At 36.4% G+C, this 24,151-nt stretch overlaps 2 pseudogenes, besides 2 other annotated features; both read right to left on the minus strand.

Moving 5' to 3' along the window:
* RPL34P36 (RPL34 pseudogene 36) lies at positions 7,463-8,424 on the minus strand (annotated as a pseudogene).
* Positions 10,903-11,359, minus strand: MRPS22P1 (mitochondrial ribosomal protein S22 pseudogene 1; annotated as a pseudogene).
* Positions 22,707-23,283: an enhancer, noted in NCBI's record as "H3K27ac-H3K4me1 hESC enhancer chrX:87076086-87076662 (GRCh37/hg19 assembly coordinates)". NCBI's record gives its function as "activates a minimal SCP1, AML or CMV promoter by ChIP-STARR-seq in primed H9 embryonic stem cells {active_cell/tissue: H9 hESC(primed)}" and the evidence as "EXISTENCE:reporter gene assay evidence [ECO:0000049][PMID:30033119]".
* Positions 23,284-23,860: an enhancer, noted in NCBI's record as "H3K27ac-H3K4me1 hESC enhancer chrX:87076663-87077239 (GRCh37/hg19 assembly coordinates)". NCBI's record gives its function as "activates a minimal SCP1, AML or CMV promoter by ChIP-STARR-seq in naive and primed H9 embryonic stem cells {active_cell/tissue: H9 hESC(naive and primed)}" and the evidence as "EXISTENCE:reporter gene assay evidence [ECO:0000049][PMID:30033119]".

Consider the following 24,151-nt stretch of genomic DNA (forward strand, 5'->3'; position numbering starts at 1 on the left):
TAATTTCTATGAGAGAGGTTTCATTAAACATTAAACAGTAACTGTCTGTTTATCCTGTTCTTTAAATATTGAAGTGAAATAACAGAGCAGATGGATATATGCCTGGCCCACAGTCAAAGGCAAGTTGTAGATTTGAGATCGTATACAATTCTCTCTGGGCCCATAGTCTTTCCTCTAGAATACACTTCAAAGTTACTGGAATATGATGGAGAAAATGTTTTTCTTTCTATTTTCTGTACTAGCAAATTACTGTTCCCATTATTAGAAAATGATTAGCAGTTTACTTTGTTTTCTCATTTAATTAAATAATAAATAGCAGACATACTATGACCCACAATATTGTAGGGAAACCAAGCAGCTGTCACTGTAATATTCCTTTGCATGCTGAAATGTAACTTCCCTACCCCTTAAATATTTCCAGAAACAAAGACACTCTTAAATTACCAGATAGTAGAAGACCTCGATTAATAAAAACATGGATTATTTTGATGAGCTGAACAGATGAGATAAAGTACCTTTGAAACTTTACCATTTTTATAGGCTTTAAGTTCTTTTAAAAATGCTTCGTGTTTCGAAGTTTTTTTTTCTTCTAATTCATCACAGTGAAATGTATTAAATTATCTTGAAATTGGTTGGTTTGAAGCCCACTTTGTTACCATATTTCTTGGAATGGAGAGAAATAAACATATCAATTTTTCCCTGCTGCTTGATTAATTGAAGGTCTGAACCCAGCAGGGACAGTTAGCTACGAATGACACAATTATGATGCATGACTTATCTCAAAGAACTTATTTTCCCTGAAATGTCAAAATATCTCAAGAGGATACAAGTTTTCCAACTTTAAGGTGAAACCTGCCTATCACAACATTTCTTTCCCTTCAAGTCAAAAGTGTATGTGCAACTACTACTGATTTGTTTACTAGCTTGAAGCGGGAAGATCAAATGGGAAAGACAATATCATCCATTCTAAAGCTTGCATTTTTATTATTTTATTTTTCAAAATAAATTTTATTGTGTATATTTGAGGCTTACAACATGATGTTGTGGGATATATATATATATAGATACTTAAATACATATACATAGTACAATTGTTGCCATAGTGAAGCAGATAAACATATCTATCATCTCGCATAGTTACTTTTTTGTGACATGGGCAGCTAAAATCTTATTTAACAAAAATCCCTAATACAATACAATTTTGTTAGCTTTAATCCTCTTGTTGTACATTAGGTTTCCAAATTTGTTCATCCTAGATATCTACTATTTTGTATCTTTTAACTTACATATCTCCATTTTCTCTACCCCATCAACCTGTGGTAATCACTTTTTCATTCTCTATCTCTGTGCATTTGAGCTATTTATTCCATATACATGTTTGCCATTTGTATATCTTTATTTTGGAAATGTTTAAATATTTTGTGCATTTTAAAATAGAGTTACTTAGTTTTTTAATTTTAATTTAATTTTATTTTTTTTTGCTATTGAGTTGTTTCCGTTCCTTATGTATTTTAGATATTAACCCTTTCTTAGGTTTATGGTTGAAACTCTTTTTTCACAATCCATAGCTTGTCTCTTCACTCTGTTAATAATTTTCTTTGTTCTGAAGAACGTTTTTAGTTTGATGTAATCCCATTTGTTTATTTTTATTTTTATTTCCCTTGTCTTGGGAATTATATATGTGTGTGTATATATATATTTAAAGCTGGCTCATGCCTGTAATCCCAGTGCTTTGGGAGGTCAAGGCAGGAAGATCGCTTGAGCCCAGGAGTTCGAGATCAGTCTGGGCAACATAGCAAGCCTTTGTTCCTATGAAAAATTTAAAAATTAGCTGAATATGGTGGTGTGTGCCTGTAGTCCCCTCTAGTCAGAAGGCTAATATGGGAAGATCAATTGAGCCCAGGAGGTGGAAGATGCTGTGAGTCAAGATTGAGATCACATCACTTCATTCCAGCCTGGAAAACAGAATAAGACCCTGTCTCAAAAAATAAAATACAATATAGTGTAACTGACCAGACCAATGTCATGGAGCTATTCCACAATATTTTATTCTAATGTTTTTACAGTTCCAGGTCTTTTGTTTAAGTATTTTATTCACTTTGAGTTGACTTTTATATAGGATGTAAGATAAATAACTAATTTCCTTTTTCTGCATATGAATATCCAGTTTTCCCAACAGCATTTATTGAAAAGACTCTTCATTATTTATTCTTGGCATCTTTGTCAAAAACCTATTCATTATAAAGGCATGGGTTTATTTCTGGATTCTGTTCTACTGGGCTACGTATTCATTTATAAGTCAGTATTATATTCTTGATTACTACAACATTTTAGTAGATTTAGAGATATGATAGTATCTCTATTTAGAGATATGATAGTATCTCTAAATACTGTCATAGTACGATGCCTTTAGTTTAGTGTTTTGTTCTTTTTTTTCTACTGAAGATTGTTTTGGCCATTTGGGGTCTTTGGTAGCTCCATTCAAAGTTTTGGATTATTCTTCTATTAGAATATTAGGATTGTTTTTTATTACTGTGGAAAATGTCATTGAAATTTTGATAGAGATTGCTTTGAATTTTTAGATTACTTGGATAGTATGAAAATTTTAGCAATATTATTTCCAATTCATGAAACAAATATATCTTTTCTTTTTCTTGTATTTTTTAAAATTTTTTAATCAGTGTTTTATCATTTGCAAAGAATACAGATGGCCAAAAGTTAAGACTTAGTTAACTAGAAATTAGAAGAGGGACATTTGGTACAAGCACATCTCAGGGACAAGTGAACTTTGGAACTTGACAGAAAGCAATGCATATCATTAAAGCTTTCACCTCAACTCTCTTTTTATTATAATACATGCATTAGAAAAAAAAACTGTTTCAATTGTATGTCCCTTGTTTCCTCTAAATCAAACCTTGTATAATGTTTCAAAATATACCAATTTTATTGGGTGGAATCCTGCTTTTTAAAATAAAATACGCTTTATAGAGGCAGATAGAAAAATATTTTCTCAGAAATTTAAACTTATGAAATCATGTATTTGTGATGACTATACATTTCATGTTCCTGAAACAACAACTTTCACCTGTATTTATCAATACTAAAAACAACAGAGTAAAAGAAAACCTGAGAAAGGAATATTTTGAGAAGGCAAAGTAAAGTTTGCTGGTCTCTAACAGATCTTTTGTGGCTAAGGAAAACTTATGGGAGGCACTTTGGAATGAAAGAAATCCCATTCCATGGGTTTGAATGATCTCTGCTGCTTTCTCATGCGCAGTAAATGAACATACCCACTGGTGTGGAACCTAATGAGCTTGTTAGTAGGCCCATATCCTTTATTTGGGAAGGAATACATGACACTGCCCCAGATGTCCAGGGCCAAAAATAATTCAAATTGAAATTAGTGATAAAGCCATGTATATCAGACTTTCTCTCATTTTTACTTCCATTTTCTTTAGTTTATTCATTGTGTTAAGTAGAAATGCCCAGCAGACATTGTGGCAGTTAGCTACATAAATGAAAAGAACACAGTTCCTGCTCTTGGAGTTCAGTCTAGTATTGGAGAGCTCACTTAAACGCATAAATGCACAGTGTAATGAGCACTCTAATTGATGTCTAAACAAAAATACACAGGAACAAAAAAAAGACAGAGTGATTAGCTTCATGGGAAAGTGGAGGAAGAGTGGCACAGGAAGGATAATCTCCAGAGCATTGCAATGTGTGTGTGTGTGTGCGTGTGTGTGTGTGTGTGTGTGTGTGTTTGTGCATCCTCTCTTCCTACACCTTGCTTACCATCATGTGAGAATTTTTAAATATTAGCATCTCTGATTCTTTTACAGGCTGGCAACTGGAGAGTATGCTTCTATCTGCACTCCCTTAGCTTTACATCTAGGAAAGAATGATTCCTAAAGTGTTTGCCAGTATTTGCCAGGAAGAAAACTACTCAATTATCATGTTCTATAACAAAAGAATATTTTATTCCGGTAACCCTGAGATTATGAATGATCTGTCTCATCCTTAAGTGTGACATTTTGCCCTTAGGCCCTACACTCTGTCAGGGTTATATATTCTTTCTTTATTCACATAACAGTTAATGGAAATTTTATTCAGTATAGAAATTTGCAACTGAGCTATTATTTCAGATTAAGAATTTCCATTTAAGTAAATGCAGCAATGTAGGTTGCCAAAGGCAGAGGGACAATGATTCTTGTTCAGGTACTATTTTCTTGTATTTACCTGGCCAGCCAAATCTAGAGTCCAGATGTTGTTTGGATTTATCTGGTTTCAATTCTTTCCTCAACCACTTCTGAAAGAGTTCTTTTAAATCAACGATTAGTTTAAAGGAAGCAAAACCTTTCTGAAAAATGTTTTAACCATATATAGCTCTACAATGGAATCTGCAATTCCGAAAACCACTGAAGAGTCAACTTTTTGTTTAGGCTGATGCCAAAATTTATTTTGTGGCAAAACATGATCTGAACTGACTTATGACCATTTCTTGTCTTTGTTTGTTCACCGGACATAAATATCTATACATATTGTGACAGAAATATTAATCTATTTGATTGTAGAGTACTGCTTCAGATGGGGATGAGATTGTTAATATATGCAACGTATACATTATAACATTTAAAAAGTCTGAATTATCTTGAATCCTGAAACACATCTATATGTAAGAAATTGAAAACATATAATGACATTTGTATGTCTAATGTGACTCCTAATGTTTAATTCAAAAGTATAAATTTGTATAAAATCATTAAAAATACTTATGTGTCTGGAAAACTTGTACTAATCTTTCACAATTCACCTTAAATGTAACTTTTTCTGGGAAGCCTTCTCACTCTCTCATAGCTAGTAGTTCCTGTGTCTGTGCTTCCTCAATACTTGATTTATATGTCTAATATACTTATTATATAAATATTATTTCTTTCATGCTATCTCTACAATTAGGCTATGAATTCTTCAAGGGTACTCTTCTTCTCCTATTGTTGTCTAGTGTCTGGTAGACTGCTTGTAAAATGTACCAGATACTTAGGAAATTTTAAGTATCTCTGTGCTAGATGCAACAATAAAGTTAAAAGTCAAAAACTTAGTATTTTCCCAGAAAATTCTTTGATACTAACCAATCATTTTATTCATTCATTTGTTATTGTAGAGCTATGTATATAGAAAGCTGATATCTCCCATCGGAAAAATAAAATGAAGCCTAAATTTATTCCTTGCTATTAAGGATCTGACAGTGTCATTGACTGGCAATAAATTCACATCCAAACTTAATAAAAGTTTATATTATTCTGTTTAAGGTCTAAAAGAGTGCACAGACATGAAATGCTAAAAGAGTTTTCAAAAGATATAGAATTACAGTATAGAGCTTCGATAACCTACATGGGCCCAAAATTATATAAAGACCTTAGTGGAAGATGGAATATACAGAAAATCAGCAAGGCTAAGGCACCTAACTGGATGTGAGACCAAGCTTCAAATAAGAAAAAATGAAAAGCAAAAAAGAACGGCAAGATCAAGCATATTAATCAAAGAGTTGTGGTAAACTCAGAATTCGCCTTGGTGTACACTCAGGAAATTCAATATGGTGGGTTACTCATAGTGAAGTTGTGGTCTATTGACCTATATGTATCAAAATCATCAGTGAAGGTTATTTAAAATGCAGATTCCTGGGCTTTATTCCAGACTTTTTGAATTAGAATCCCCGAGTAATTAGAATTTTCTTGTAGTTTTTCGATTTTGTTTGTTTGTATATTAAGTATCTATGATTGCTTAACAAGTTACTACAAATTAAGGGACTTCAAACAATATGCATTTAGCATTTTACATTTTCTGTAGGTCAGAAGTCTGGGCATGGCATGGTTGGAAGATGATAGATGGGGCTGCTATCTCATCTGAGGTTCGGGGGCCTCTTCTAAACTCATTCAGGTTGTGGTCAGAATTTAGTTTCTTACAGTCCTAAGACTGAGGCTCTTGTTTTCTTGCTAGTTGTTGAGCAAGGGCCACTTTCAGCTCCTAGGTGCTGCTCTCAGTCCTTGCTATGGGGACCCTTGCATCTTCAAGCCAGCAACAGCACGTTGGATTTTTCTCAAGTTTTGAATTTCTGGATTGCTTTTCTCTGACCAGCAAGGTAAAACTTTTTGCTTTTAAACATTTCATTTCATTAGGTCAAGCCCACCAGATATTCTTTACATTTTAAAGTCAACTGATTTGCGACTTTAATTATATCTTCAAGATCTCTTCACGATAGTAACTATATTAGTGTTTACTTTGAATAACAAAAGACTAGGAATCTTGTGGAGGGCATCTTAGAACACTGGATAAGGCAGATCATTTTTAAAGTAATTCATACATAAAACAAATCATTCAAAAATCATAAAAGGAATAGTAAATCTCTTTCCCATTCTTGATTCTGAGTCTCCCAGCTCTCTCTCTGCCACAAGCAACAATTGCTGTCAGTTTATTCTGAATCATTTCAGATTTCATCTTAGAAAAATAGTATTTTTTTCTTCTTTTTTCTATCCTCACAGAAGTATACTATACACACTATTTCATACTTTACTTTTATCACTTGACAGGGTGCCTTGAATCTCTTTAAATATCAGTACACCTAGATTCATTAGTTTGTTCTTTATATTGGTTGTGTCTGCACTTTGTATGAAACGTTCTTTCTCCCAGATTCCCTCCACGTAACTCCCCATGGCTTGAGTTCTCACTTTATTTAGTTTACTGTGCAATTTTCCCTTTTCTGAGATCTTCCATCTGTTCATCCAATATTAAGTAGCCACATGTTCATCATAGCACCTGTTTAATTTTCCTCAACTTTTGCCTATCTGAAATAATCTTGTGTATCTGTTTACTTGTCTGTTTTCTCACCATCCAAATAGAAGGCAACCTTCATGAAAACAGGTACTCCATCTATCTTGTTCACTGTTTTGTCTTTAGTTTCTGAAATAGTGCTTAGTGCATAGCAGATGTGCTTTAAATATTTGTTAAGTATGTTATTCCATTATATGGATGCCATATATTATTTAATTAATATTATGTTTGTTTTCTGTTATAGACAATACTGCAATGAAAATCAGTGGTCATATATCCTGTGCCCATTTGTGAATATAGCTGTAAGATATATTTTGAAAAGTGTAATTACTAGGTCAAATCATATGCATTTAATATTTTGATAAGTCTTCCCAAATTGTGCACCATAAAGTTTTTATTAATGTTGACAGGCAATAAAAATGCATAAGAAATATATTTCTTTCAAATATTGCCTAACAAAATTTATCATTATACCTCCAAAAGTTTATTTTCATTTTTAAAATTATGAGTGATAATGAACATACTTTTACGTTTATAGCAATTTTTTAGTTTGTAGTTATTGCTACTAACTGCTTATTTATGCCTTTTCCTGTTTTCTTTTTAAGTTTTATGTTTCTATCTTATTGATCTTTTGAAAGTCTTTCAATGTTTACTACTCAAAAAAGTGTTATTTTTAAATGTTGTTTATTGACTCTGTGCTTGTACCTTTAACACTGTCAATGGAAAAGAATTAAACTCTCTAAAATATTTTTAAAAGGTTATTCTTAGCTAATACGGGTGAATGCAGCCAAGGAAAACACAATCTCAAGAAATACTGATAAAGTGTTCCCGAGGTAGTCAGACTGCAAGTCTATTTTAGGGAAGCAGAGTTACAGGCAAAGTCAAAAGTCAATACACGGTGATTATACATTGGTTTGGCCAAAAAGGAAGGATACCTTAAAGTGGGGATTTACAGGTCATAGGTGGGTTCCGAGATTTTTTAATTTGCAATTGTTTAAAGGAAAAAAGCTTTGTCTAAAAACATGGAGTAAGCAGAAAGGAATGCTTAAGTTAAGATAAGGAAGCCTGTTAATTACCATGTGATGCTATGCGGGAGTCAGGTTGTGAGAGCAAGCCAAAAGTTTCTGAGTCAAAGTGACCTGTTTAGCATGATTGATGGTCTGCAGACATGATTCTCTCCAAGCCCCTTAGAAAGAAATTTTGAGAAAAGGTCAGAATTTAGTCTTCAACACTTACCATGATTGCCTGCTCCTTGATTTAAAAAAAAAAAAAAAAAAGCATGTTTAATCCTGTCACAAACACATTTACCATGCATAGAACCACCATAGGCCCTGCTGACGTTTTTGTTTGTTTATTTTAGACAACATCATAAGAATTTTAGGACTCACAGATTGAACCCTTCAAAGTCAGCCTGGGCACATGCCACAGGCAGATTTTGGTGCTTTCTCAACCTTCCTGTATAAAAATAAAAAATTCTATTACCATTGGTCTAGGAAAGCCTAGTTTTGTTAGAGGCTCTATTTATTGTAGGAAGGTCTGTGATGGTCTATCAAGTGCTGGACCATTCTGAAAGCCTCTAGACAGCATCCCCAGAAGAGGCCATCTTATTGATTTCTAGGAGTTATTTATATATTTTAAAAATCAACTTTTTGACTGTCATATGTGTTGCAAATATTTTTCCCATTTTGACATTTATGTTTTGACTTGGTTTATGATATGGTTTGTATGTATTACTTTATTTTTATTTTTACGTAGTCAACTACAATGTATTGTTTAATGTCTTCTGGGTTTCTATTTTGTATTTAGCTGAGGCAATTCTTTTCCACCTCTAGAATTTCTAAGAAAACCTATCCTATGCTTTCTCCTAGCACTGAAACTATTTATTTTAAGATGTATCTTTGACTTATTTAAGGAATTATGTGTTAAATAATACATCTCTCTTTTATCTGAAAAGTCAACTTATCAGCTTTAATTTCTGGATGTATTTGGATAAATAGCTGGTCTCTCTTTCATAATCTATTGGTCTATCTATTAATGTGTCTATTCCAATATATTCTAATACCTTAGCTTTATTAGATGCTTTAATACCTAGTAGTTCCTATTACTCTCCATCTCCATTATTTTCTTTTCTAGACTATTTCTGCCTATTATATATTTATTTTCTCCACGTGAATTAACATGTTGAATTTATGCAGATAATTATATTCTTTATATTATTGAATCTTCCTCCAAAAACTAAGTACAGTATTTCTTTTCTTTTTATTAAGGCTTCTTTTATTTACTTCTGTGTTTTCAACATAATTGGTAAAAAATAAAATTTATTTCTGAAATTTTCAACAAAACTGAAGAATGACTATCAAATACTTCCTGAAGCATTGATTTTGTACACGTCTTTTTCTATGCTTCTGTTTTTACAAAATTGTCATATTATACTAGCCTGAGCTTTGAGCTCTTGAGCTGACTGGTTATCTAACAAAGCATGTGACAGAGCTGAATCAAACTGGTAGTAATCCACTAAATATCTAAATGTCGGTGAATATAGTCATCCAGAAAATCATCCATTAATCTTTTCCGTAATTACAAAGTCTCACGCTATTCTACAGAATTGTCCTATTGTGTCCAGAACTGGTGGGTTCTTCGTCTCACTGACTTCAAGAATGAAGCCGTGGACCCTCGCGGTGAGTGTTACAGTTCTTAAAGGCGACGTGTCTGGAGTTTGTTCCTTCTGATGTTCGGATGTGTTCGGAGTTTCTTCCTTCTGGTGGGGTTCGTGGTCTCGCTGGCTCAGGAGTGAAGCTGCAGACCTTCGCGGTGAGTGTTACAGCTCTTAAAGCGGCGTGTCTGGAGTTGTTCATTTCTCCCGGTGGGTTCGTGGTCTCGTTGGCTTCATGAGTGAAGCTGCAGACCTTCGCGGTGAGTGTTACAGCTCATAAAGGCAGTGTGGACCCAAAGAGTGAGCAGCAGCAGGATTTATTACAAAGAGCGAAAGAACAAAGCTTCCACAGCATGGAAGGGGACTGGAGTGGGTCGCCACTGCTAGCTCGGCAGCCTGCTTTTATTCTCTTATCTGGCCCCACCCACATCCTGCTGATTGGTCCATTTTACAGAGAGCTGAGTGGTCTGTTTTGACAGGGTGCTGATTGGTGTATTTACAATCCCTGAGCCAGACACAAAGGTTCTCCACCTCCCCACTAGATTAGCTACATACAGAGTGTGGACACAAAGGTTCTCCAAGTCCCCACCAGAGTAGCTAGATACAGAGTGTCGATTGGTGCATTCACAAACCCTGAGCTAGACACAGGGTGCTGATTGGTGTGTTTACAAACCTTGAGCTAGATACAGAATGCCGATTGGTGTATTTACAATCCCCTAGCTAGACATAAAGGTTCTCCAGGTCCCCACCAGAGTCAGGAGCCCAGCTGGCTTCACCTAGTGGATCCCACACCTGGGCCATAGGTGGAGCTGCCTGCCAGTCCTGCGCCCTGCACCCTAACTTCTCAGCCCTTGGGTGGTCAATGGGACTGGGCACCATGGAGTAGGGGGCCGTGCTTGTGGGGGAGGCTCGGGAGGCACAGGAGCCCACGGACGTGGAGAGGGGAGGGCCGGAGGCTCAGGCATGGCAGGCTGCACGTCCGGAGCCCTGCCCCGCAGGAAGGCAGCTAAGGCCCGTTGAGAAAATGAGCACAGCAGCTGCTGGCCTAGGTGCTAAGCCCCTCAATGCCTGGGGCCGGTGGGGCCGGCGGGGCTGGCGGGCCCCAAGGCCGCTCCGAGTGTGGGGCCCCCGAACCCACACCCACTCGGTACTCGCACTGGCCCGCAAGCACCGTGCGCAGCACCGGTTCCCGCCGGGCCTCTCCCTCCACACCTCCCCGCAAGCTGAGGGAGCCGGCTCCGGCCCAGAAAGGGGCTCCCACAGTGCAGCGGCGGGCTGAAGGGCTCTTCACGTGCCGCCAAAGTGGGAGCCCAGGCAGAGGAGGTGCGGAGAGTGAGCGAGGGCTGTGAGGACTGCCAGCACGCTGTCACCTCTCACTATTTTACAATGAAAGGCCCTATTTACCATGCTAGTATCTTTATAAATTTGCCAATAGAGCTTGATATACTCGGCAGAATCTGGTTCAGACAGAACAATGCAGAGTGGAGGATAGCTGGCTGTACACGGTCTTATAATTTTTCTCTTTGAATATCAATAGTGGAAAGTTTTAGGATCCTCGATTTAGAAATAAATGTGTATCATCCTTTTCTCCTCTTCCTATGAGGTCTTGGTTGCATGCCACTTTGTTCTCTGATCACAGCAAGATATCCCCAGTGTGTGTGGGTTTTTTTACGGTGTGTGTGTGTGTGTTGGGGGTGTGTATACATACACATGTTTAGACGTTTTATTCTTTTATGGCTTACGTACTGTTTTGTAGCCTTTTCCAACTATGCCTGCGTCATTGGCGTATGGATTCATGGTTTCAGTTCTTTAACAGCTAGATTTAAAATCGACTGTAAATTCAAACCAGTCATCCTGATTAGTACGCTTTCAACTTGTTCAGAGAACTCAGAGATACTTGATTCAGCCTCAGAGTTTAGCTGATAACCTTGGTAAATTTCCTTAGGGCCCAGGGTTAGGTCTGGGTCAGCTGACCTTCTTCACGCCTAAAGAGCCAGTCTGGTATTTCCACAGTGACAGAGTCAGTAATATTTTAAATTTTGCTTCAGTGTTTTGGTTCTGTGTATTTTGTAAATGTAGTTTACTTCTAGGAACTTTTAAATTGCTATTTTAAATAGCATTTCCTTTTTATGTTAGAATCATTATTTTCAATGCTGTGTTTTTGAATGTGCACCATAGATCAAGAGCCAAGGCTTGGGGCTAGGAGGTAGTACAGACCCTGGGGACCGAAGAAGCACTCAAGACCCAAACAAGTAAGTTGTGGTTCAGGGCTCGACTTGAATCCTTGAAGGAACATTGAAGTCAAAAATAAGGAAACTCAGACCTCAGTTTACAGACGGTCTCATAGGAATTTATACAAACCTGTATTTATATCATCTGTCACATTGTGACTATTTATTAACCTATCTTTCTCTCCTACTAATTGTGAACTCCTTCAGAACAGGGGTCAAATCTTGCTTATCTAGGAGTCTCCAATGCAAAACTCCACATACAGAGTGGCTGTTGAATAAATGGTTGTCACTATATATTTCTGCTGTGCTATCATGTGGCTAATACCCAATATTTATTCCACGTGCTTTTCAATGTCAAGTGATTCTGACTAGGTAATCCAGCATCTTTCCAACTGTCTAGAACTGAACTGCAAAGGAAACTGCTGAATCTTCATTTAGAAATACTGAGTTTGAGGCATTTGCAGGAAACCGAAGTATAAATGCATTGGAGAAGGAGAGGATGAGAACTCTGAAATCTCTCCAACATAGTATTCTTGACTGCCTCACATCATGTTTCTTAGCATTGCCAAGGTTAAAAGAAATTTCTGTCCTGTGTAGTGTTGTAGAAAATGGCAATACTGACTTCCCTCCTTGGTGTTTTAAAATTCATTGTTTGAATCAGACATGTATAGAAATGCCATTAGATAGTCCCTGAAACTGAATGTTTGAAATACTATTATCATATGTATAAAAATTTTTAGGCCGGACGTGGTGGCTCACGCCTGTAACCCCAGCACTTTGGGAGGCCGAGGTGGGTGGATCACGAGGTCAGGAGATCGAGACCATTCTGGCTAAAACAGTGAAACCCCGTCTCTACTAAAAATACAAAAAAATTATCCAGGCATTGTGGCGGGAGCCTGTAGCCCCAACTACTCGGGAGGCTGAGGCAGGAGAATGGCGTGAACCAGGGAGGCGGAGCTTGCAGTGAGGCGAGATGGCGCCACTGCACTCCAGCCTGGGCGACAGAGCGAGCCTCCATCTCAAAAAAAAAAAAATTATAATTTGATGTTTCTGAAAAAAGAGCTTGGTTTCTTTGGCAATAAACAAATAATGTCTTTCCTAATTTAAGTTTAATTAAGACTGTGTCCCTGACATGTTCTTTAATGCTATAGACTACTTTTTTGTGCCCATTCTGTAACATGCATTTGGTGAATCTATAGAGACGAGACTCATCTACGTGTTCAGTTCTTAACTGAAGGCAATCTGACATTTTTTAAATACATTGATTATAAAGTGGTAAGCCATAATGATGTTTGAAATGTGAGCTATAAGTAAAACTAATGCTATGAAGGGGTTTGCTGATCTTTAATTTAAATCCAGTCAGAAGTGCAAATGATCACCCAGAAGTTTTACTGAAAGGGATGCTAATACTGATTCTATAGATTCTATCGAACCATAGAAAGTTAATTCTACTCATGTGGACCATCATTCTTGGCAATTACAAAACAGTTTTAAATAATCTCCAGTACAGGCTGCTTTACTGAAGACCAACCCTGACTTCAGCAATTATCTAGCCTAAAATTGGATAGTGGGTCAGCAAAGCATTACGGCTAAAGGGAGCTTGAGATGAACCTAGGTTGGAATCCAAGCATTATTGTTTACTAGCTGTGTAGCCTTCTGTGAGTTATTTAATCTTCATGATTTTCTGTTTTTTTTTTCTTTGTAAAGTGAGGATGATTATAGAACTTGTGGTTATGAAGGGAAGTAAGATAATGCAAGTAAAGTGTTTGGCATGGTGCTGGGCACATAGTAAACACTCAATAAATTGTATCTATTATAGAGAAATCCCCCTAAATATCTTCAGATGAGCTTTTATTATTTTGTTATTGTATAGTTTGGTCACACTAAGGCCTTATAAACTTTTTGAAGTACCTCTTATTAAAATGATATTATGAAGCACCAATAGCATGTAAATAAGGTTGGCTGTTGAAGATAATACACATTATATACTGTGCACTCAAAAAGCCTAGGAATTATTTACATTGAACAAATATGTAATTTGAACTTGCTGGAACAATTCTAGCTTTAATGAGTACTTGAGCAGCTTCTAAAAAAGCATAATTTCCACTTTTTATTAAAAATTAAAATGTTTCATTCATCTTTTAATTGAAAGGGAGGTTGAAACAGACATGGTAACAGAGTAAAACTGGTAATTAAATAATAACCACTTTAATATTCAATGCAGTAAAACTTTGAAGGTGGGAGAAAGAAGCACAAAGGAAAAAATCTCATAGAAAAAAACATGAGTGTCCAAGGCCAGGCTCTGCCATTTCACTTAAAATAGCTTGCCAAAAGTTGTAAGAGAAGAGAGAGTTACTTGCAACATATTGGCAATGGTAGCCAGTTGTTCCTGGTACATGAAAGAAGTGATTATCACAGATGTAAATAAAATGAGGAAGGTTATATGAATATATATATTTTTCTCACATCAAAGAACAGTATGGCCCCATTACAGAGAAAAGGTATATTGATTTTATGTTAGAATTATCTGCAACTGAATTTTTTCAGCTTATATTTAAATGTGTAGTTTTGTATTTGGAAAATTCAACTAAGGAAGAACAAAATGGAATCACACACAAACGAAGTTATTCCTACTCCATTATCATGGAATCTAGAGTTTAAACATTCTGGATTCAACTGCACATACAGCTATTAAATAACAAACTCATTATTGAATGATATGTTAATCTCAGGAGAGAGTAAGACATTCAGTTTACTGCTGTCTTTTGTAGAGGATATTCATGTGGAGAATACCCAAAGTATTTTGATATGGGTCATTCTGCTTAATTTTGGGAAGTATTTTTAACCTACCATCTCTGCCCCACAGTAGTCTGTTTACAGGACATGAAATCTACATGGGCCTTGTCACAATCGAATGTACTTGTCATTTTTCATCATCCCTCCTTCCTTTCTGGAACCACAATTCTTATTCCATGTTTTTCCCCTTCCTATTTTTCATGGAAGCATAGAATCTTAAAACTGTAAAGTCATTAAAGTTCATTGGATAAAACCCCACCATTTTACAAATAGGAAAAATAAAGAAAGGTAAAGCTACTTAACTCAAGATCACAAGGTGAGTTGAAGGCAGAGCCAGGCTTGAACCCACATATCCCAACATAAGTGTTCTTTTGTCATACTGTTAACCATGTATAGTTTGAGTCTTCCAGTATCACTTGATGATAATATGAAGGCTTTAAGTGCTTTTGTTAGTTTTTTATTCATTCATCTGGGCACTCAACAAATATATTAATTTCCTACTATATGCTAATGAGGGGAAGAGAGGTTACATAATGAGTCAAAGCCTATATTAAGCATGGTTCCCTTCTGCCAGGTTGTATACAATCTAGTGAGGAAAGTGAACATTAAGCAAGTTATACATACACTTAATATCAAATTAACCCTGCAGAAGATCCTAAGAAGATCACTGTGCTATAAACTGTGTGAGAGAATAGAATTTAACCTATGGGGTATGTGTATAAGGAGTAAGGTATGGGTTCCCTGGGGATGAACTGAGATTTAGCCGAGAGCAAATAGCTAAGTATGAGTAAAATAGGTGAAAAGCAGTGGGAGGTGAATAACATTCCAAGCCGCAAGCAGCATGTGTGATGGACCAGCAGCAGAAAGGAGAAGAGGTGACTGAGAGACAGCTGCTGTGTCCACAGAAGCTGGGGGGGAGAGAGAGAAGTATTGTACACTCCTAACTGCAGGATTAGAAAGAACTAATCATTTAGGGCGAGTGGGCAGATGCTAGCTTCTTGAAAACATGAGATAAATGCCAGTCTTCACTGATCCGTGATAGACAATTCTTTTTAAAATAAGTACCAATCATTTAAAAGGTATGACAAAAATGTGAGGAGTGATGAAATGAAGAAATATCAGTAATGAAAAAAGAATTAAAGAAGCATAAAACAAATTGAAAAGCTTACGAGTTCCATCCATTTAAAAATACAGTTAGGGCCGGGGGTGGTGGCTCACTGCCTGTAATCCTAGCACTTTGGGAAGCCAAGTCAGGCAGATTGCCTGAGCTCAGGCGTTCGAGACCAGCCTGGGCAACATGGTGAAACCCCATCTCTACTAAAATACAAAAGAAATTAGCCGGATGTGGCAGCATGCGCCTGTAGTCCCAGCTACTCGGGAGATTGAGACGGGAGAATTGGTTGAACCCAGGAGGCGGAGGTTGCAGTGAGTGGATCAATACAGTCAATTCAGAAATATTTGAGTACTTTAATAACTAGTAATTATTACCAAATAGCTCTAATAAGCACTGTTCTGTACAAGGCGGAAAGCAAAATGACTACCTAAGTAGCATTCTTGATAGAATGGGGTAGGAAAGATAATGTGCAATTTGGGGGAGGGAGTATCATAGCATAAAAGCTGTCTTCTGCTTACAGAAGCTGTGTACGTAGTTCTCTGTTTTTATGAGCATGATGATACCTTATTACGTGCTAGTTTAATCTAAGCCAGTGATAAACTTAGACCAGCTGTAATAGAGAAGACATTGAGAAAACTTCAAAAGAAAGTATGAGCTCAATAAAGAAAAAAGTCCAGAGAATAGAATGCCTGGCTGGAACTGCCCCAACATTTTAACGGGTGATTATTTTTAAGTTAAGAAATTTAAAATTTTATTCTGTCCTTATATTCCTACATTTTTATGTAATCATGTTTTTAACATAACTTTCATATCTTATTACTGCAAAGTTTTTCATATTAGAAGAAAATGTAGAGAAGCAAAAAAGAAAAAATAACCCAGAGAAAACTACTGTTAATATTTAATGTATTTCCTTCTGGTTAAATTTTTTATCTATTTATATGCCCATATTTTAGTAAAAATGGTACAATAATATCAATAATATACTTTCTATTTTTAACCCCTGTTCATTTAATATATTATAAATATACTATTTTTTATATTATAAATATACTTTCTATTTTTTAACCCCTGTTCATTTAATATATTATAAATATCTTTCTGTGTCATTACTTTTCTACTCATTCATCTTAACAATTGTACATTATCCATTGTATGTGCATGGCTTCACCCCTAACCACCTTTTCTTCTTTTTTCTTTTCTTTTTTTTTTTTTTTTTTTTTTTTTTAATTGAGATAGGATCTCGTTCTATCACCCAGGCTAGAATGTAGTAATGGGATCATAGCTCACTGCAGCCTCGAGTTCCTGGGCTCAAGCGATTACCTCTTCTTCAGCCTCCCTATAGGCATGTGCTACCATGATCAGCGAATTGCTAAATTTTTGTTGCTGTTGTTAGGGATGATGTCTCACTATGTTGCCCAAGTTGGACTTGAACTGCTGACCTCAAGCAGTCCTCCCACCTCAGCATCCCAAAGTGGTGAGGTTATAGGCATAAGCAACCCTACTTGGCCTCAAATTCTTTTCTTAACAAGAAAAATAATTTAAACGGCATTGGAATTGCATATATAAATGCTTGCAAAATAAGTTTTTTTCATGACATTTGTATATTTTGTCTCCTTCTCATGCCTTTCTCTACAGATGTACATACTCACACATACACACTTTAACAATTTGCTATCAAGTAGACTAATTGAGTGCATCTTAAGTCCAGATCCAATGGTATACAAACTCCCAATCTGATTTATACAAGGTATTATTAAAGAGTTATTGTTGAGAAAATATATTACAGTGAAATTATTTTTTAATGGGGCTATGGTTCGCATATTTAAAGTACGGTAGTAATATTCAAAGAAATAAGAAAAAAATTTCAAAATAGACTTCTTTAGGAATCTTATTTAATTCTGTGGTAAAGTAAATCTGACTAACATACAGTAGAATGGGAACTTCAAAGGTCTTTTCCTAGTTTTTAAAGCTTGCCAGAATTAAGTGCTGCTGATTAGTGCTAAATTGACTGGAACTGTGGTTGGGAGTGAAGATCGGGGTCATGTTAGGAGCTGAGACCAGAGAAATATATGACAGAGCTCTACACTTATTTTGTGTGCCCATGGACAAATAATAAAAAAGAAAAGACAGAGTGGAAAGTTGTGGTTTCCTAATTGCAAATTGAGCTTCGATGCTGGGGAGAACTAATGTGATCCTGACACCAAAAGTCATTCCAACTGACTTGATATATATACAAATAACAGTATAATTTGGATTTTTAAAATGCAGCTGCAACCTGTCCATTGAATCTGAGAACATTTTCATTTTCACTTGAAATCAAACACAACACTATATAGTCTATTGGTACACATGTCTAAAATATTTACCTTAACTACATGACTACAAAAACATCTCTTAAATATCAAATTATAAACTATTCAGTGTATGTATATATATTTATAAAGATAAATCAACTATTCAATATAGATATCTGTATACATGTATAGTATATAGATATCTATACTGAATAGATATCTATACGGAATAGATATCTATACAGAATAGACTGAATCTATACTTAATCTATACAGTATAAATGTATATTGAATATAGCAGTATAGATAACTTTACTGAATAGTTGATTTATCTTTATAAAAAATATATATATATACATATACTGAATTGCTGATAGTTGATTTTTTTTACACTGATTACCTCCTATTTTTATTTTCCTAAATTTGGTGATTAAAATAAAATTCAGACCCAGAGCTAATTCAATAAAAATTAGCTCATTTTATGTATGAACTTAGCTTAACTTCAAAGTCTTGGTCATAGTTTTGAATACATTTTCTTTTAACAACACAATTGCTTTTCATTCAAAAGGGAAAAGTACTGAAAAACAATTGATCTATCTGGAGGATTCTGGCTCCTTTGAATCTTTGGATGCATCATGAGTGTTTTTTTTATTCTTTTGCTTGCACTTTTTCCAAAAGAAGCTAAATAAATTAATTAGAGAAAGAGATGCTCTTCGTCTCTCTGTTGGCCTAGTCATAAGAGAAACCATCAGATATGAGGCTTAATGGCTAGTCATGGAGGCAAAAAATGTAATTAATACTTAGATAAATGTCTGCTTTTTTTTTTTTTTTTTTTTTTGAGACGGAGATTCGCTCTTGTTGCCCAGGCTGGAGTGCAATGGCATGATCTCGGCTCACCCCATCCTCCTCCTCCCAGGTTTAAGCAATTCTCTTGCCTCAGCCTCCTGAGTAGCTAGGATTACTGGCATGTGCCACCACGCCCGGCTAATTTTGTATTTTTAGTAGAGACGGGGTTTCTCCATGTTGGTCAGGCTGGTCTCGAACTCCCGACCTCAGGTGATCCGCCCGCCTCGTCCTCCCAAAGTGCTGGGATTACAGGTATGAGCCACCGCGCCCGGCCAATTGTCTGCTTTGAAAGCACTGGTTAAACACTGTGGAGTGGCAAGATTTCTCATTGGCATGCTCATTCAGTTTTCGCTGGAGATTAGACAGTGCTCCAGCTAAATCAGTTAGAATGCATAACTGATTTTCTAATTGGATGCATCTAATTGGCAATTAGAAAATCAGGGCAACATTTTAGACATGGGTTTGTGGTGATTCTCATGTAAATGAACCTGTTGCACTGTCATTCATATAAAAGGGCAGCACATATGATTATATGCAGTACATAATAAATGATAACGATAATAAACCCCTATGGTTTATGTATTCACTCTTACCAAGAGTTGTTCACTAATTTAGAGAATCACATCACTGAAGGAAATGCTACTTGTGATATTTGAGTTGTCAATACAATATACTTACATCAGTCTGCATTCCTAGCTGTCATATTCATGGTGATTCTATTTATGGATGCAAGCACTTTATAACTTCCTTACTTCTAGTGTTATTGTGACTAATCATTTATATATTGAGAGGTTTATTATTTTGAAATGAAATACTTCATTTAATATACTGAAAAACTTCTCAACAAATAAAAATCCAGGATCAGATAGTTAAACTAGTGAGTTCCATCAAATGTTTAAAGAAAAGTTAAAACCAACACTTCTCAAACTCTTTCAAGAATGTGGAGAGAAAAAAAACACTTCCTAACTTAATCTATGGAACCAGAATTTCCCTGATCCCTGATTTTATCATTAACATTTGTAATTTTATCTTGTCTTTGTTCAGGCTGTTGGAACAAATCACTATAGACTGGGTGACTTATAAACAACCAAAATTTATTTCTTGCAGTTCTGAATGCTGAGAAGTCCTAGATGAAGGTGCTAACAGAATCAGTGTCTGGTGAGGGCCCACTTCCTGGTTGAGAGACAGCTGTCATTTTGTTGTGTCCTCACATGGCAGAAGGGACTAATGAGCTCTCTGGAGCCTCTACTATCAGAACACTAATTCTATTCATGAGAGATCCACCCTCAGGACCTAAACACCTCCCAAAGGCCCCATCTCATAATACTATCACATACGGTATTAGGATTTCAACATATGAATTTTGCGGAAACACAAACTTTCAGTTTATAGCATTTATTTTTAGCATTTTATATTTTTCAACAATCCTGTAAGGTAGGCAGGCCTAGTGTTACGTATTCTATTTTATGGGACCCAGCTCCAAAATTATAATAGAATTCAGAAGGAAGTTCCTGACTTGGTGAATAAGTGATCATTTCATTTATAAAAAAATAGAAATGTATTCAATGCATAAAATGAGCTCAGTCTGTAATACATTATAAATAAATGCACTTCTTAGATTATTTAGTCTATGGGAAGCCTGCACAATTTAACTCCACTCACATGGATCATTAAGCTGTAACTGCACTCAAATAAGTAAATTGCAAATTATGGAATTCTGGCAAGCAATATACCAAGTAGTTTCATAGAAAATCATGAAGTTCATGACTTTTGAATCAATTTGAGGAATTTTTATTTATGAATAGTTGTTTTTTTTTGTCCTACAATAAGAACATCTAGAATAGTTATAATAATAGCACTAAGAATGGACCGTTAAGAGGTCTCTGGTGATCATTGATCAGACTCTTAAAACCCTCTAACTTTCCTATTCTCATGAGCTCCATGAATATTTATTCTGCAATAATTTGTATTTATCAAGTGATATCTTGCATTCTCACAGTAATTCATCAAAAACATGTAAAATTTTCAGTTTTTAATATCTGACTACCATGGCATAACCTGGACTGAAGTTGATACAATTTGAATCAATAGCAAATACATTTAATATGTTAGCTAATAAAATATGGTTTTGTCTTATAAATGATGAGAAGTTTAGTCCAAGTTTTATAATGGGTGATATTTTTGGACAAGCTTATATAAATACTAGGGAGATAGATTATTATGTAATGTTCAATGGATGTTTAAGTTTAGTAAATCATATCTTAATTTCTAAAGAGACTTGTCATATAATAATAGTAGTTGTTTTAGAAATATATATATCTGGATATTTTTTAGTTACACACACACACACACACACACACACACACACACACACACACTGTTACCCACTTACTCATTAACCATTAGAATAAGAAAGACAATCTTTTTGTTTTTTAAACTCACCAAGTACATGTATCAGCACAGCAGCTAGTCTGGCAGCTATAAAAATACAATTATGCAAATTAGGTATGTGTTCCCTGAAGAGTCCTAATAGGATGATTGACCTATATATGGCTTAATTTGCTTTCAAGAGCCCTCTTTATTGTCTTTCATTTGCACAAGAAATTAAAACCTGTTAAATTCTATTGCTCCCCAATTACTTATCAAAGGTGCTTTGTCATTCCATGTAAAAAATAATCAATAGCTTTTTCATGCTATTTTCTCTGAAAATGCAACTATGGTGCTAGAAGATAGCACAATTTCCAACCATACATTTGAATAATCTCTTTTTTAATCAACATATCACTTATGAAATGACAGTGAGTTTTAAAGGTATGTGGTTGAGAGATCACAGAATCACTAGGTTACATAGACAATTTGCTTGCTAGTGTTTTTGATCATATGTATATAATATCTACTATTTGGAAATCTGTTCATCTCTAAGCAGGAAAAACTATTTGGTTATAGCCACATGGGCATTCTACTGGTTTAGCTTTTGGCATCACTAAAAATCTTTATAGTGATAAGGTTTGATTTCACTAAGCAGACCAAAACTTAGTGCAAAGGAAAGTATCTTGGTTGCCTCTCAGTCATAAAAACAGCTTTCTCAAAGCCTAACTTACGTGAAGGATTCACTTTTTCTTATTATGCTGCTTAGCGTAAACAAAAATGTATTGCCAATACAGTGTTTCCAAAGTAAATTAAACAACTCTATGTTGTTTCATAAAGAGGAAAATGCTTCCACTTTATGGAAATAGAAATACAGAATGTGAGTACTTTTAAATCCCTTTTCTCCTCGACTTACTAAAATTTTGGAAACTTTAACATTTATTGAGAGATGGGTCCAGTATTCCAGGATTGGACAGCCTCATGACAAGGTTTCCTATAAGGTCCCTTGCCCCCATATCACTGTTAAAAGATAAACTGGGTTGGAAGTTGCTGCTCTTGGTCTACTGCTTTCTGCTTTTTTTTTTTTTTTTTTTTTACCAATTGTCTTTCAACTTATGCATGTTCTTAGAATGAAAGTGAGTGTTTTGCAGACAATGTATAGTAGCATCTTGTTTTTGTATCCATTCATCCAATTCATATATTTTTATTGGAGTGTTTAATTCTTATGCATTAGAAGTAATTACTGGCCATGTGTGGTGGCTCATGTCTGTAATCCCAGCACTTTCTTTGGAAAGCCGAGGCAGGTGGATCACCTGAGATTAGGAGTTCGAGACTAGCCTGGCCAACATGATGAAACCCCATCTCTACTAAAAATACAAAAATTAGCTGGGTGTGGTGGCAGGCACCTGTAATTCCAGCTACTCAGAAGGCTGAGGCAGGAGAATCACTTGAACCTGGAAGACGGAGGTTGCAGTGAGCCGAGATCGCACCACTGCACTCAAGCCTGGGGCAACAGAGTGAGACTCAGTCTCAAAAAATAAAATAAAACGAGAGATAAATAAAATAAGTAATTATTGATAGGTAAGCACTCACTTTTGCCATTTTCATTTCTGTTTTCTGTGCATTTTATAATGATTTTTCCTCATTTTCTCCATTACTGCCCTTTATGTTTAGTTGCTTTTTAGTAATGCAAGAATGTGACTCTCTTTTCCTCTTCTTTTGCGTATATTCTATAGATATTTTCTTTGCACTTACCATGGGGATTACATATAACATACTTTTTTATGTTATGTATATGTATATTTATGACATTTGATGGTAAATTGATACCAACTTAACTGCAATCTCAATCAAAAAGTCTATTTCTTCTGCAGCTCTGACCCCCTTAATATTATTAACTCAGGAGGAGGAGCCAAGATGGCCGAATAGGAACAGCTCCGGTCTACAGCTCCCAGCGTGAGCGACGCAGAAGACGGGTGATTTCTGCATTTCCATCTGAGGTACCGGGTTCATCTCACTAGGGAGTGCCAGACAGTGGGCGCAGGCCAGTGTGTGTGCGCACCGTGCGCGAGCCGAAGCAGGGCGAGGCATTGCCTCACCTGGGAAGCGCAAGGGGTCAGGGAGTTCCCTTTCCGAGTCAAAGAAAGGGGTGACGGACGCACCTGGAAAATCGGGTCACTCCCACCCGAATATTGTGCTTTTCAGACCGGCTTAAGAAACGGCGCACCACGAGACTATATCCCACACCTGGCTCAGAGGGTCCTACGCCCACGGAATCTCGCTGATTGCTAGCACAGCAGTCTGAGATCAAACTGCAAGGTGGCAACGAGGCTGGGGGAGGGGCGCCCGCCATTGCCCAGGCTTGCTTAGGTAAACAAAGCAGCCGGGGAAGCTCGAACTGGGTGGAGCCCACCACAGCTCAAGGAGGCCTGCCTGCCTCTGTAGGCTCCACCTCTGGGGGCAGGGCACAGACAAACAAAAAGACAACAGTAACCTCTGCAGACTTAAGTGTCCCTGTCTGACAGCTTTGAAGAGAGCAGTGGTTCTCCCAGCACGCAGCTGGAGATCTGAGAACAGGCAGACTGCCTCCTCAAGTGGGTCCCTGACCCCTGACCCCCGAGCAGCCTAACTGGGAGGCACACTGACACCTCACACGGCAGGGTATTCCAACAGACCTGCAGCTGAGGGTCCTGTCTGTTAGAAGGAAAACTAACAACCAGAAAGGACATCTACACCGAAAACCCATCTGTACATCACCATCATCAAAGACCAAAAGTAGATAAAAACCACAAAGATGGGGAAAAAACAGAACAGAAAAACTGGAAACTCTAAAACGCAGAGCGCCTCTCCTCCTCCAAAGGAACGCAGTTCCTCACCAGCAACGGAACAAAGCTGGATGGAGAATGACTTTGACGAGCTGAGAGAAGAAGGCTTCAGACGATCAAATTACTCTGAGCTACGGGAGGACATTCAAACCAAAGGCAAAGAAGTTGAAAACTTTGAAAAAAATTTAGAAGAATGTATA

This window comes from Homo sapiens, chromosome X (assembly GCF_000001405.40).
Source record: "Homo sapiens chromosome X, GRCh38.p14 Primary Assembly".
Taxonomy (NCBI): Eukaryota; Metazoa; Chordata; class Mammalia; order Primates; family Hominidae; genus Homo; species Homo sapiens.